Source organism: Homo sapiens, chromosome 1 (assembly GCF_000001405.40).
Source record: "Homo sapiens chromosome 1, GRCh38.p14 Primary Assembly".
NCBI classification, from domain to species: domain Eukaryota; kingdom Metazoa; phylum Chordata; class Mammalia; order Primates; family Hominidae; genus Homo; species Homo sapiens.
In genome coordinates, this window is record NC_000001.11 from 69,781,507 (window position 1) to 69,797,865 (window position 16,359).

General features: G+C 36.7%; 1 protein-coding gene across 10 annotated transcripts in view; it reads left to right on the forward strand.

Moving 5' to 3' along the window:
• LRRC7 (leucine rich repeat containing 7) overlaps positions 1-16,359 on the forward strand; it is a 576,443-nt gene that overhangs the window by 213,585 nt on the left and 346,499 nt on the right. For all 10 annotated transcript variants that reach the window (NM_001330635.3, NM_001366839.3, NM_001370785.2 and 7 more), the window contains one exon: positions 10,537-10,654. In NM_001330635.3, coding sequence (NP_001317564.1) covers positions 10,537-10,654 — 118 coding nt within the window. The remainder of the gene's footprint in view (positions 1-10,536; positions 10,655-16,359) is intronic.

Here is a 16,359-nt window from a genome sequence, read left to right on the forward strand (position 1 = left end):
TCCCGTCTGTACCAAAAATATAAAAAATTAGCCAGGTGTGGTGTGCACAACTGTAATCCCAGCTACTTGGCAGGCTGAGGCAGGAGAATCGCTTGAACCTGGGAGGTGGAGGTTGCAGTGAGCTGAGATCATGCCACTGCACTCCAGCCTGGGAGACAGAGCAAGACTGTCTCAAAAAAAAGAAGAAAGAAAGAAAGAAAGAAAGAAAGAAAGAAAGAAAGAAAGAAAGAGAGAGAGAGAGAGAGAGAGAGAGAGAGAGAAAGAAAGAAAGAAAGAAAGAAAGGAAGGAAGGAAGGAAGGAAGGAAGGAAGGAAGGAAGGAAGGAAGGAAGGAAGGAAGGGAGAGAAAGAAAGAGAAGGAAGGAAGGAAGAAAGAAAAGGAAGGAAGGAAGGGAAAGAAAGAAAAAGAAGAAAGAAAGAAAGAAAGAAAGAAAGAGAAAAGAAAAGAAAGAAAGAAAGAAAAAGAAAGAAAGAGAAATGGCTTTGTACCCACACAGAACTGATTTTGAATCTTAGCTCTGGCACTTGCTAGCAATATGACCTTGTAAAAGTTACCTCCTGAGATTTCTCATCTACAAAATAAGGATAATAATACCTTATTTACAACATTGTTGTAAGTAGAGACAATATACATCAAAGTGTAGTTTAATCACTTGCACCTATGTAATAGGCACACACAAAAATGGTGACTATCTTGCTATTATGCCACTCTCCTACATAGAATATTCAAGAAAGAATAACCACTTACTGAGAAGGTACAATGTGCCAAGCATTGTGTTCCACACTTTCCGTACTGCAGGAACTGGAGAAACTACACTACAATCTTGTAATCACAAAACTCAGACATCCATGTTTCAATAGGTATAACCGTACAGAACACTACAAAAGTATGCAGGTGGAGCATGTAAACAGGTCTTAATCTGTGATCTGGAACTTGAACAACAGAGTAGAGGGGAGGTGGGATAGGGTGGAGTGGAAAAGAGCTCCAGCTGGAGACTGGTATTTGTAAAGTCAAGGCAGAGTACACAGGTGCAGAAACACAGCTGCTGAGTGTGGCTGGAGATGTGGTAATGCAGGACAGCAGAGGAGAGGTATGGATGGAGAAGGGCCAGGGAAAAGGGAAATGGCAAGATGAGAAATTGGAGAGGCGAAGAGCCTTGAAAGCCACATTAAGGAATTTGGACTGTCCTGAAGAGAGCAGACAACTACTGAAAAATTATGAGGAGGAGATGGACCTAATCATATTTGCTTTTTTAGAAGGAACATGCCATCACTTCCTTTCTCAGTGGCCATTAACCTAGCCAACAGATCCATGCCTGGGCTTCAGGTGGTTTGCAAGTTCCCTGAAATTGGTTGCAAATGTGTGTATTTGTGTGTGTGGATGCATGCACATGTGCATATGTGTGTTCTCATAAACATTTTTCTGGAGATAGCAACTAAAAGGTTAACTCAAAATTGTGAAAAATGACCATCCAAACACTTCCTACAGGATAAAGCTCAGACCCTTACAGCCTTTTACATTCTAACTAAAACCCACATTTTTCATTCCTCTCCACACAGCTTACAATACAGCCACTTGCTTTTTGTTGTTGTTGCCATTCTGAATATGCTTCTGAGCCTTTCTTTCATGTACAGCCTCTTGGGCTTTTCTGCACCTTCCAATCTTCCCTACCTCCCCATCCCCACCTTCTACTCAGAAAACAACCCCTCTCTGTAAACATGGTTGAAGTGTTTCTTCCTTCTCCAGGCATTCTCTCATATTTCTTTCCCATTTTTTAAGAAAAGCACAAATCGAAGTCATAGAATTCTGGTGACCCAGCTAGAGTGAGAGAGGGATAGACAAATAGACCAGTAGGCTAGAAATAGAAAGTCCAGAAACTAACCCACACTTAAGTGGAAATAGGATATACAAAAAGGTTGTCTTGCAAACCAGTGGAGAAATAATGAAGTTTTAAAAAATGATCCTGGAGGCCGGGCGCAGTGGCTCACAACTGTAATCCCAGCACTTTGGGAGGCCGAGGCAGGCAGATCACCTGAGGTCAGGAGTTCAAGAGCAGCAACATGGCGGAACCCTGTCTCTACTAAAAATACAAAAAATTAGCCAGGTGTGGTGGCGAGCGTCTATAATCCCAGCTACCCAGGAGGCTGAGGCTGGAGAATTGCTTGAATCTGGGAGGAGGAGGTTGCAGTGAGCCGAGATCACGCCACTGCACTCCAGCCTGGACGACAGAGCTAGACTCCCCATCTCAAAAAAAAAAAAAAAAAAAAAAAAGATTCTGGAATAACTGGTCATCTATAAGTGGAAAAGAATAAATCCTTACTTCATATCATTCTCAAAAATAAATTTCAGATAGGTCCAATCAAAGCATTAAAACATTTAGAAGAAAAATAAATAATTTTAGTCTTCAACTTTTGTGTATGTGCACTAGCAGATGTATATTAGAATATTCTTAGCAGCATTGCTCATGTTAGAAAAAAATGAGAAAGAGCCCAAAAGCCATGAACAATAGAACATATAAGAAAGTCGTGTTATATGAAACATAAAGCAGTGAAAGTGAATGAATACATTTTATACATTAACATTGAATACTATTAATAACATAATATCAAATGAAAAAGGAAAGTTGCAGGTGGAAATATACAGTATTACTCCATCCATATAAAGATAAACACACAAATCCAAACAATATATAATTTTAAGATTATTAAACCTGTTGTAAAAGCATAAACAGAAGCGAGGGAATTAGTAAAATAAAATTCAAGAAATTGGTTGCCTCTCAGTGGTGGTGGGTAGAAGACAAAGGGATATGATAGAGAGGAGCATAGGTGAACTTTCTTCAACTGGATTGAGAAATATGGGTCTTAGTTTTATTATAGTTAAAAAATACATATTACATACGCTCTTGGGTCTGTGTATTTCACAATAAGACATTTTAAAAGACACAAACAATAATAAAATAAATACAATGACTCACAAAAGACATGGTTCCTCTCCTTGAGGAGCTCACAGTTTGATGCTTGCTTCAGTTCCTGTGTCCTCCTTGTTCCATAGATTGTTGTGAAGGGCTCCTTTCTTAACTGTTGTCTCCCTTCTACATCCTTTGGGTTTATTCTGTTACCTTTTGTTGTTAATTTTCTTAAGTCGCATGCTTAACTCATTCATTTTCAGCCTTTTGTCTTCTCTAATGTAAGCATTTAAGGCTACACATTTACTACCTATTATTCTGGCTATATCGTGGCATTTCTATTATGTAACATTTTATTATTTAATTGTTTTGTAATCTCCATTATCATTTATTCTTTGGTGCATGAGTTATTAAATTTTAGTTTGTAAATGTAGAACACAATATAAATGTTTTTAAAGTTATTTTTTAGTTACAAATTTTTAACTTAATTGCATTATTGACCAAGAAACTGGTCTTTTTGTTATGAATTCTCTGGTGTTTGTTGAGACTTCCTTTATGTCTAGCACATGATCAACTGTAAATTTTTATATGCATTTTTAAAAAATACTGTGTAGTAATTGAGCTCAGTGTTCTATATGTGTCCTGTAGAACAAGCTCATTAATTGTAGCCATTAGTTCTTCTATAGCTTTTTGTATTTTTGTCTGTTTTTTAGTCAATTATTGAAAAATGTGTTAAATATCCTGCTATGATAACAGTTTTATAATATCTCCTTGAAGATCCATCAAATGTTCCTTTAAATATATTAATGTTACTATACTAGGTACATTTATAATTGTTATACATTCCTGGTAAACTGAAGTGATTATCATTATATGATCACTCTCTCTCTAGTAATGTATTTTGCCTTAAATCAGTATTGCTGTGTAAACTTTCTTTTAGTTAATTTTGACAGTTTTACAACTTTGCATCAAGTTTTGGGTGCACCACTGTTAAACAACATAGAGATTGCTTGTTTTTAATTTTAATCCATTCTGACAGTCTGTTTCTTAATTGGAGAAATTAATCCATTTTTACTGAAGGCAATCATTGATGCATTTGTATTAATGTATTTCACTCTATTCTGTATTTTTATCTGTGTTGCTACTTCTGAGTCTTTTTTCATTATATTTATCAAAGTCTTTTCCACTTCTTTATCTCATTCCATTTATTTTGTCTCTATCAACTAGAAATCATACACTTTATTTCTATTTTTTAATTTGTTATTCTAGAAATGTAAACATACCACTTTAACTTAACTTGAATATTTAACTTTGATCTAAAGTTAATCAGTATCTTTGCCTTCCTCCCAAACAATGAAAAAATCTGAAAATGTTTGTAATATAATATAATAATAATCCGAATATGAGTGCCTTCCAACAATTCTGAAATTCCTCCACTACCTCACTCATTTTATTTTCTACGGTTTCCCAAAATTCCAAAAAGACCTTCTTACCGTGTCCTCCATGTCATTTAAGCAGTCTTTTAAATCCTACTTTTATTTCTTTAAACATATTAAGTGCATTTATTTTACATTTTAAGTTTCATAATTCCATTATATCCACCATTTGCAGGCTTGATTCTTTGTTTTTCTGTAACATCTCACTCAAGTCAATTATTTTATTATATATTTAGTGATTTTTTTAAATGATGTTATGTTTCTTGCAGTGTTATCTATGAGACAAAGGCCTAAATTTAAAGTTGAGTTCCTTAGAGGAGACTTGTATGCTTCTACCTGGCACTTGGGGCAATACTAACACAGGACCACTTATAACTCTCAAGTGGGTTTAAAGAAGCCCCATAAATACTGTGAATTCCAGTCTCTAACACAAGAGAGCTCAGTCTTGTGGTTGGCAATTCCTAGAAGACTTTTTTTTCTCTCTCTCTCTGTCTTTTTATTATTTTTTCTTCCTTCTTCCTTTCCTTCCCTCTCTCCCTTCATTCCTTTGCTATTCCTTTCTGTCCTCCATTCTTTCCCTTCCTTTCCTTTTTTTCTTCTTTTTCATCCCTCTTATTTTTTCTTCTTTCACTTCCTCCCTGTATTAGTCTATTTTCATACTGCTGATAAAGACATACCCATGACTGGGCAATTTACAAAAGAAAGAGGTTTGTTGGACTTATGGTTCTACGTGGCTGGGGAGTCCTCATGATCATGATGGAAGGTAAAAGGCACATCTCACATGCTGGCAGACAAGAGAAGAGCTTGTTCAGGGAAACTCCCCTTTTTAAAATCATCAGATCTTGTGAGATTTATTCAATCACAAAAACAACACAGGAAAGACTATGATTTAATTACCTCCCACTGGGTCCCTCTAACAACACGTGGGAATTATGGGAGCTACAAGATGAGATTTGGGTGGGGATACAGCCAAACCATATCATTCTGCCCCTGTACTCTCCCAGATCTTACGTACTCACATTTCAAAACCAATCATGCCTCCCCAACAGTCCCTCAAAGTCTTAACTCATTTCAGCATTAACTCAAAAGTCCACAGTACAAAGTCTCATCTGAGACAAGACAAGTCCCTTCCACCTATGAGCCTGTAAAATCAAAAGCAAGTTAGTTACTTCCTAGATACAATGGGAGTACAGGCACTGGGTAAATACAGCCATTCCAAATAGAAGAAATTGGCCAAAACAAAGGGGCCACAGGCCCCGTGCAAGTCCAAAATCTTAAAGCTCCAAAATGATCTCCTTTGACTCCATGTCTCACATCCAGGTCACGCTGTTGCAAGAGGTGGGCTCCCACAGCCTTGGGCAGCTCTGCACTTGTGGCCTCGCAGGGTACGGCCCCCCTCCCAGCTGCTTTCATGGGCTGTCATTGAGTGTCTGCAGCTTTTCCAGGCACATGGTGCAAGCTCTCAGAGGATCTACCATTCTGGGGTCTGGGGGATGGTGGCCCTCTTCTCACAGCTCCACTAGGGGGTGCCCAAGGAGGGACTCTGTGTGGGAGCTCCGACCCCACATTTCCCCTCTGCACTGCCCTCGCAGAGATTCTCCATGAGGGCCCTGCCCCTGCAGCAAACATCTGCCTGGGTATCCAGGCATTTTCATACATCTTCTGAAATCTACTCAGAGGTTCACAAACCCCAATTTTGGACTTCTGTGTACTTGCAGGCTCAACACCAAGTGGAAGCTGCCAAGGCTTGGGGCTTGCACCCTCTGAAGCCATGGCCTGAGCTCTATGTTGGCCCCTTTCTGCACATAGCACGGGGCCCTGGGCCTGTGGTGGGAGAGGCTGCCGCAAAGGTCTCCGACATGCCCTGAAGACACTTTCCCCATTGCTTTGGTGACTAACTTTCAGCTCCTCATTATTTATGCAAATTTCTGCAGCCAACTTAAAAGACTTGCCCCCATGATTCAATTACCTCCCACCGGGTCCCTCCCACAATATGTGAGAATTGTGGGAGCCACAGGATGAGATTTGGGTGGGGACACAGCCAGACTATATCACTCCCTTTCTTCATTCTTTTTCTTTTCTTTATTCCTTCTTCCCCCTCCCTCCATCCCTCCTGCCTGCCTTCCTTCCTTCTTTCCTCCTTCCTTCCTCCCTTCCTTCTTTTCTTCCTTTTTCACTCTTCACTCAAAGCCAAGGCTGAGAAATACATGTATCCCCTGCTAAATCCCTTTGCAGACCCAGTTTTTTTCTAGTTCACTCACTGGGGGTGGTCTCTAAGCCAATCTCCCACTCTGTTCAGAGTCCAAGCAGTCTTCTATCCTTCCACTTGCAATATCTGTAACTCAGGCTTAACCCATCAAGGACCAACAGACTCCACCAGAACAAAAGCTAAATCCAGACTCATGTAAGTCTATGTGTTATTTTTCTTGTTATTCTGGAATTCAAATAATTGCCTCAAATTACAATCAGAGCTCATTTTATACAATAAAGCAGTGAGTGAGTGTGAGGGTGTTTAGTTTTGCTGTACCAAAAGATTACTCTTTAAATATTTAGTTCACCATACTTCTGAAACAGAAGTTGATTTCTTTTCATACCTTTATCTTTAGTGCTGAAGACAAATCATAGCACATAATAGATATTCAATAAATATATTTTAGATGCGTATAGATGTTGTAGACTCATACCATTCACTCCAAGATTCAAGTCTCCTCATGTTGTCAAGCAAATATCTGAAACTAGCTTGAGCTACGTATTCTTTGAGTTGAGATTATCTTTAGATGTTTCAACAAAGGTGTGACATTATTGCCTCTTTAGCCTTCATCTGGCTATCTTCTGATTGCTCTCTCGTGTCCATTTTTTCACACCTTTCCTAGAGATACTTCCATAAATCAACTCCAGCACCATCAACAATAAAATCTGGTACAGATATCCTACCTGTGCATTTTCATTACAACTGATATTTACCCCAACATAAATTTCAATTAAATTAATTAAAACTTAAACATCTGAATAATAAAGCACATTAATGCCTGAACATGAAAATATATTAATGTCTGAATATTAAAGTATAAAGAATCTGGGCTCAAGTATAGTTGTTTCCCCGCACTTAGCATAGTGTCTAGCTTGTAGCAAGTATCAATAAATGGTTTTTCATGAACAAATGAATGAATGAATGAAATATTTTGGAATATACATTTTTTAGCTCCAAATGTATTTTTATTTTCAACTTTTGAGGCTTTTTTCTTTTTGTCAGCTCTTAGAGAAGACATCTAACTGCTGTGTTTCAGTTCTAAATGTTTACTTTGGTGTCAGTAATTTATATTGTATAGTCTTCTCAAACCAATTTCTTCAGAGTTAAATTGCTTCCTTTAGCCCAAGAAAAAAGAACACTTTAGTACCCAAATATTTTAAGACTTGAAACAATTTTATTGTTTTTGAAATGTAAAATACCATTAGCAAATGAAGACAGGATAACCATGCCTTTAATTCAATTCAAGTCTTTGAGAATCATTGAGTTTACCATGTGACCACTAACAGTTTTACTCTAATTATAATAGCTATCAATTATATTTGCCATATTCTACTATATTGAAGAATTACATGTATTTTATAATCATTCCTCATTTTAATTCAAAGCTTTCGAATCTTGAAAGAGCTGTTAAAATGCCTTTTTAATTTCTTTGCCAATTTGTATTCTTCATAATTATATTAAGAAGTTCACTGTTTTATATTTGAAACTTAGATTCCACTGAGACTGTTTACCTATTGAAGTTCCCAATCCAGTGAACTACCACTCTTAGCTGGAATATAGCACTCTCTTTATTTCCCTTTTAATTAGCTATGCAGAATTTCAAAAATATTTCTTCAGTATGTACTATGTATAAGACACTGTACCAGTCACTTTTGTGTATAGAAAGAAGAAACAGGTTGATACCAACATGGATCAGCCATGATTCCTGCCTCCGTCATCTAGAAAAGTAAAAAATAAATTATTATATAGGTGTGCCTCTGTATCTGGTACATAAATATTAATAATGGCTTACAGTTTTCATGCTTTACTGTGTGACAAACAACGTCTTACATTTTCACAAGTACCTTATTTCATCAAATATTCAAGGCCATTGATTATAAGACACATCCATATTGTAGTGCCATTAAGGAAGAAAAAAAGACTCCTTAAAAATCATAACTTACTCCTGACTGCAGGGTGCATTCCAAATATCAAAGATGTTAATATGTGAAAATATGTGTGACTTAGAACTGATGAATCTATTAACTCAAATAACACTCTCAACAACTCTTCAAGTTAGGTAATGTATTGTTCTCATTTTATAGGCAAGGAAACTGATGAGTTCAAAGATATTACGTAACTTGCCCAAGATTGCACAGCTAGTAAATAGATGGGTGAAGGTTGAACACACTTCAATCTGATTCCACATACCATATTCTTAGCTTCTCCACCAAGGAGATCTTGGATTCTTTTGTTACAGGCTGTTCAGAAGTTTCTGTGTCTTTTCTTTCTGATGTGACTTCATTTAAAGTTGAAAAAGAATACTGGGACTATTAATTCTTGAGCTCACTTCAGAATTTAGTTGGGATGATGAGAAAAATTTATAAAACAAACAAATTGTGTTTTGAAGATCATTAGCCTGAACATGGCTTGAAATGGTTATATAATAGTGATCAGACTAGAGAGTTGTTAGTAAATCTTACCAAAATCATTCATAAGACAATTGCTTTTTTTAAGTCTATGAATCTGTAACTGACCACACTGTATGCAGATATAGATGTAATAGTTGTAACAGAATGATAGAGACTGGAATAAGTATAAATTAACTTATACCAGGAGTGTAGGCATCTGTTTTCCTATTTATTTAGAAGGAAAATTAATAGTAGAAACTATCCATCAAAGTATGCATCTGAGTTCTCTTTTTGAGGTTTCATACAAAGAAATAGCAACATTTATATCTAAGATATTGACAATTAATTCTACACTACATGAAGTGTTACGAATAGTCTTTGTAAGGCACCAAACATGACCCAAAGTAAGAAACTGCATATTTCATATTAAGTAACAACCAGCCCAATTTATTTTTTAAAGGCTAATGAGTTAAGACATAACGACCATGTGCTACATTGTTTTTGCCTGTAAATAACGAATTACATGGGAGAACAAATGGTAGTTAAATGTACTGTAGGCCAGTTTCATAGTCATGGATACCAGACTTCATCTGTGGAAATTCAGCAAAACAGAATTAGAAATGTCAAACAGAAAAGATCTCATTAAGATAATTCTTCCAGAAATGAATCAAAAATTCTGTCCCAGATGTTCATATCTGGCAGGAGTCAAGATGAATTGGACAGAGCTAAACCATCTAATTTATTGTTTCTCAAAATATGATACTGCAAACACCTGTATCAAAGTTTCCAGATCACCGGTGTGCTTGTTAAAAATGCAGATTTTTGACCCCCTTACAGGACCTATTTGGGTAAAGCTCAATAATTCACACTTTAAAGAAGCATCTACCTCAACCAGTGAATATAAGCATGCTGGATTTCACAGCTATTACTTTAACACTTGGCTCTTTCCCACCTAATACTTTGGACTGATGGCAGAAATGAAGCAATTACGAGTGATTTTTTTCACCAAATATCAGAGGTTAAATGTCTCATGCACCAAATATTTATGAAGCAGTTGGGGGAGGGAGCACAAAAGAAATGTGAACTCAAGTATTCCAGTTTATTGCAGTTTTTGCATATTTGATAAACAACTGTTCAATGTGATTACATTAAAATAATACCTCATGAAATCTAATGTGGTCACAGAAAAAGAGAACTGAGGTAATCCTGGTAGCTGTCAGAATAGAAAAGAAGGGACAACTCCAGAAGTTACTTAAAAGAAAAAGCAGTCAGTGGGGGATTCAGTGGTAAATTGAATGAGAGTGGTAAAAGAAGGGGCAAAATAGAATATCTTGGGTTTGAGTCTGGGTAGCCAAAAATAGAGGCACTAACATGGGAATAGAATGTGAAGCCATTCAGAAACAATTGAGAAGATGAGTATGGAGGGAAGTGAGGCTTTTATAACTGGCTCTTTTACTACTACATATATAAACATGGTGACTTTAATTTTGTTACTGAGTTTATGAATGAATTTAACCAAATTGAGATCTAATTAATGATTATTTTCTATTACAGCAATTGTTCAACTGTCAAGCTCTACGAAAACTAAGTATTCCTGATAACGACCTTTCAAATCTGCCAACCACTATTGCTAGTTTAGTTAATCTTAAAGAACTCGACATCAGTAAAAATGGTAAGATTTTTCTCTCATCATAAAATACCTAGAATTTTTTAACTGAAAATGTGCTTTAATATCTTCTCTTAGCAAATAATCTAAAATAACTTTTTCTTTGATTTTGTTGCAACTGTAGTTTAATGCTCTTGTAAAGTTAAATCCTAAATTTTAAGTCCAAGACAGACGTCCTGTCTCTCCTCCTCTTACTAATGTGCTTGACTCGTTCAAGTCTTGTTTCCCTCTGCATTCAGACATGTGATCTAATCTTTTCTAGAATCGTTTACTGCCCTCACAAAGCTGACCTCTCTCATTCTCAGAGTAACATTTTTTCTCAACATGTGTCAAATATCACCTGCATAACAAGGCCTACCTGTTCACCCTATTTGAAAATATACTCTTAATTTCCCTTACTGGGCTTCAGTTTTTTCCCCTAGCACTAACCATCCTCACAATATTGTATACTTTACCTATTTCCTATGGTTATGGTATATTTTCTCCTAACTGAGAATGTAAACTCCAATTCATAACAGGAAGAATTTTTCTTTGTTTTGGTCACTAATGTGTCCCAAACATCTAGAGCAATGCCTAATAAATAATAGGAATTTAGTAGTTTTTGTTGTATTTCTGGACAGACTTGTATATCTGGTGTTTTTGTTGATGATGATGCTGATGTTGATATTCAGGTTGATTATTTTTTCTCCTGAGTATTTATGGGAGTGACTTAGAGCTTCAGAAAGTCTCTTGCATCCTTGTTCATTCATTAAATCTTCATTTCTTTCCAAATGAACTCAGCTCTCCCTTTTATTAGCAAGGATCAGTCAAAAAGGGTTATGTCTAGGTACAATGAGGATATAAAATAGGACCCCTTCATCATTAAGATAGTCAGTTAAACTTCCTGTGTGTGCACCGTATCTGCACAAGTAGTGCTTTGGTTATTTATTTGGTTATATTTAGTGCTGAGGAGACAGGAATGCAGGCATGAACAAAACAGATCCTGCCCTTCTGAAGTTTACGTTCAAGTGGGTTGCCCATTAAACAAGAAATTGTAGATGATTAAATAAGCAATTTTGTGTGAAGATGCATTCAACATGAAGGGCATGCCTAGAGAAGGATGCAATCCAATCTTTGTAGTTAGGGAAGGTTTTCCTAAGAAGTGATAACCAGATAGGACCAAAAGAAGCTAGATAAGATTGGCTTGACATCCTGGGAAATAAGGATCTGTTTTGTGAAAGGCCATCAGAAAAATATCTTGGTCACATGTAAATATAAATTTCCTAAGAAATTTGGTGCCTTTAGAGCTCCATGACAATATCTCAGTAGCCTTGTCTCTGTTCATTTGACCAGAACTCTCCTCCACAAATATCTGCAATGCTCATTTCCTTATCACCTTCAGGCCTTTTCTTAAATGTACTGTCAAAGAAGCATTCCCAGACCACCCTATTTAAAAATAAGATACTGATATTATTATTCAATAGAAGCACATTTTACTCTTTTTTTTTTCTTATATGAAAAACTGACCCACTGTGTATTTAAATTATTTATCTATTGTCTGGAATCTCCTTACTAGAATTAAAATTCAGTGATGCCCTGAATTTTTTGTTGTTCTTTTGTTTACTGCTGTATTTCCATTGCCTAAAACAGCGTGTGTCACATTTTAGGAGCCCAGTAAATATCTATTCAATGAATTCATAAATGAATGATTGTTCCAAAACATGGAAAACTTGTTGAAATTTACCAGTGTGAAGTGCTAGTGATTTTCTTAATTCAAGTCTTTGAGAGTAATTGAGAAGTTAATAGAATCACTGTGGATAAGACTGACACTCTCAAATAATCAGTGAAAATTATAAAATACTATACAATGAAGTACCTAATTATAAAGCACATGTTACAATGATAAATTCTTAGACAATGGTGGATTAATTAAGACTGCTGTATTATTAGGGAAGAGTTCAAGTAAAAGATGTTCCCTGAAGATTTTCATGAAACACTGTAGCATCTGAATAAAGAGAGTATTTCATCTGAAGGAGACAATCAGAACATAAACAGGGGACACGGACCTCTTTCTACACCAACTTGACTTGCCACTTAGAAGGTTTTCAGGAAGAGTTCAAGTAAAACATGTTTCCTGAAGATTTCCATGAAATCTGAATAAAGAGAGTATTTCATCTGAAAGAGACAATTAGAACATAAACAGGGGACACAGACCTCTTTCTACACCAACTTGACTTGCCACTTAGAGGGTTTTCAGCAAGACAATTCTAAAAGTACCATACACAGATGTGTAAAGAGAAGAACAACTAGGTTTTGACCCATGGAAAGATGACCTTAGGGCTACCATGCTTTGAGAATAGATTTACCTATTTGTATAGATTTGTATTTCTGTACAATAAAACAATTACTACTACCTCTTTATTTATATACATTCACACTTCAAATTGTATTTTTGTTATAATTTCTGAGAAATAGTATATGGACAATTATCACATTCCTTGATTTTCAGGCAGGATTAGCTGGATATTCCAAGTAAAGAAAAATCTACCTTATTTTTAAAGAAGATCTGAAAATAATTTGTCACCCAATATAAACATGAAACTCCTAAATAATTTGACATTTTTGTGAGCATGTAAAAGTTTCTGATGGCTCTCTTACATCAAGAAATGTTTGCTCTTAGAAGGTGAACCACAGGTTATATTTTTTCAACTCAGAAGTATCTGTAAGCATCCTTAGAAGTTTTTGCAACTATTACCTCGGGGCTTTTAGCTATGCTTATGATTCTGTATTTTCTGGAAATATTTATGCAAAAAGTCATGCAAAAGATGGCGAACCACTCTGCAATACTAGTATAGTACTATAGGCTTGATGAGTATAATGATAGCAGCCATTGCTAGAACTTACACAAACAGTAAGATTTCATCACATCAGCCATTTCAGAAAGCCATACCTAAGAAAGCTGTCACTGCCTGGCGCAGTGACTCATGCCTGTAATCCCAGCACTTTGAGAGGCCCGGGCCAGGGGATCGTGAGGTCGGGAGTTTGAGACCAGCCAGGCCAACATGGTGAAACCCCGTCTTGACTAAAAATATAAAAATTAGCTGGATGTGGTGGCACATGCCTGTAATCCCAGCTACTCAGGAGGTTGAGGCAGGAGAATTGCTTGAACCTGGGAGGCGGAGGTTGCAGTGAGATCACGCCACTGCACTCTAGCCTGGACGACAGAGCAAGACACCGTCTCGAAAAAAAAAAAAAAGCTATCACTGATTCTGTGACAGAAAACTAGACAGTTACTTAAGGAACATAATACATCCTTTGGGAATCTGTCAAGTGAAGAAAGAGTAGATAGCAAAAAATAACTGCAGTGTCAGAATCACAGTTGACAAGGTTGGAATAGCCCTGCTGAAAAAGAGGCAAGACCTGAGAGAATACAAGCAGTATTGGTATTTAGGGACAGGACATAATAGACTATTTTGAAACAGAGACTCATTCAAATATTAGTCAATCTAGGTTAAAATTACCTAAAATGTGCTTAAATTAGATGAGTGACCCCTTAAAGAAATTAATTCACTCTAAGGTCAAGATTCAATCTGATCTTGATTGTTGATGTGGCCTCCTACCTTTATTTTTCATGTCCAATTCTACTGCCTGTCATCCTGATCCACCATTTTTCCTCTCTATAATTCAAAAATACTATTTTATATTAACACCTTTAGATAAGTGAACTATTGTGTACAGAAAGATATCTGCACAATTTGAGTAAACAGATTTTTTTTGGGTTTTTTTTTGTTTTTTTCTTATTTTGTTTTTCCTAAATGTATTCTTTCTATTTTATTATTATTATACTTTAAGTTTTAGGGTACATGTGCACAACGTGCAGGTTTTGTTACATATGTATGCATGTGCCATGTTGGTGTGCTGCACCCGTTAACTCATCATTTAGCATTAGGTATATTTCCCAATGCTATCCCTCCCCCCTCCCCCCTCCCCCCACCCCTCAACAGTCCCTGGTGTGTGATGTTCCCCTTCCTGTGTCCATGTGTTCTCATTGTTCAATTCCCACCTATGAGTGAGAACATGTAGTGTTTGGTTTTTTGTCCTTGCAATAGTTTGCTGAGAATGATGGTTTCCAGTTTCATCCATGTCCCTACAAAGGACATGACTCTAACCACAACTCCAGCTGGTCATCTCTCTTCCATTTCATGCTCAGATAGTACCAGATTGTAATTTCCAAATGCATCAAGCTGGTTGCTTGTGACACAAGGAATCATATTATCTTCTTATCTTCTCTACCCAAAATACCCCTTCCTCCCTACTGCTGTACCCCATCAACCAGACAGAGTCCTCTTCACCTTTAAAAAGACATTTCAGTCAGGTGCAGTGGCTCACGCCTGTAATCCCAGTACTTTGGGAGGCCGAGGTGGGCGGATCACCTGAGGTCGGGAGTTCGAGACCAGCCTAGCCAACATGGAGAAGCCCTGCCTCTACTAAAAATACAACAAGAAGAAAAATTAGCCAGGCATGGTGGCACACGCCTATAATCCCATCTACTTGGGAGGCTGAGGCAGGAGAATCGCTTGAACCTAGGAGGCGGAGGTTGCGGTGAGCCGAGATTGTACCATTGCACTCCAGCCTGGGCAACAAGAGCGAAACTCCATCTCAAAAAAAAAACAAAAAACAACAACAACAAAAAACAGACATTTCAGATGTCATTTACTCTAGGAAACTTCCCTGACACTGTATACATAAGGAGAATTAATTCCTTCTTCCTCTGTGATACTTTTTTACATTGTATATGTTTTTGTTTTGAACTTATTTCACTTTTTAATTTAATTTCTATATATTTGACTAGATTGTGAGACCCTTGAGATTAGAAGCTATCTCATTTATTTCTCTGTTTGGAACTACTAGCACAATACCCAGTATACATGGTAGGCATTCATCAAATGTTTGGCAGGTAAATAAGAATTATATAGAGACATTCTTTTAAAAATATATAATGTGTATTTAATTACATTAGGGACCCAACATAGGATAAGGTCGCCATCCAATTGTTTTAACCGAGTGCTGGAAAAGATAGAAATGACACTCCGATAAGTAATGAGTAGCCACTAAAGTCAGCTCTAAAGTGCCATATAATAATACATTTAATGGTTTTGTTCCTTAGAATAATGACTACCTCATATCAAGTTTTGGCCTTTCCCCTGAGCTTCAGACTAGAATAACAAACTTCATTTTGGGCATCACTATATTTATTCCACAAACACTCCCAATATAAAGTATTGAAACCCAAATTCATCATTCTCTCCAACCTGCTTTTTTCCTCCATTGTCCAGTTCTCTGTTAATGTTACTATGATCTACTCAGGTTTCCAAAGCAAAAATTCATTCTCTTCTTCAACTTCCATATCCATTTAGTCTTCAACTCCTGCCAAATTTACCTCCTAAATATATGGCAGGTCTTTTTCCTTCTTACTGTTCCCATTGTTACATTCATAAACTAGTCCCATATCTCTTTCCTAGATTACTTGATAGCCTCCTAACTGGTCTCATCTCCATTATTGCCACCACAATTACCAAACCCATTCTCCACAAAATAGCTTTAGCACTCTTTCATAATTGCTAATATGACTGCATTACTCTCCAATATAAGATATGTCATTTGAACTAGGGTAGAATGTAGAGTTCCTAACACAGAATTAAAAGTACCCGCAATTGACCTCTATTAACTCC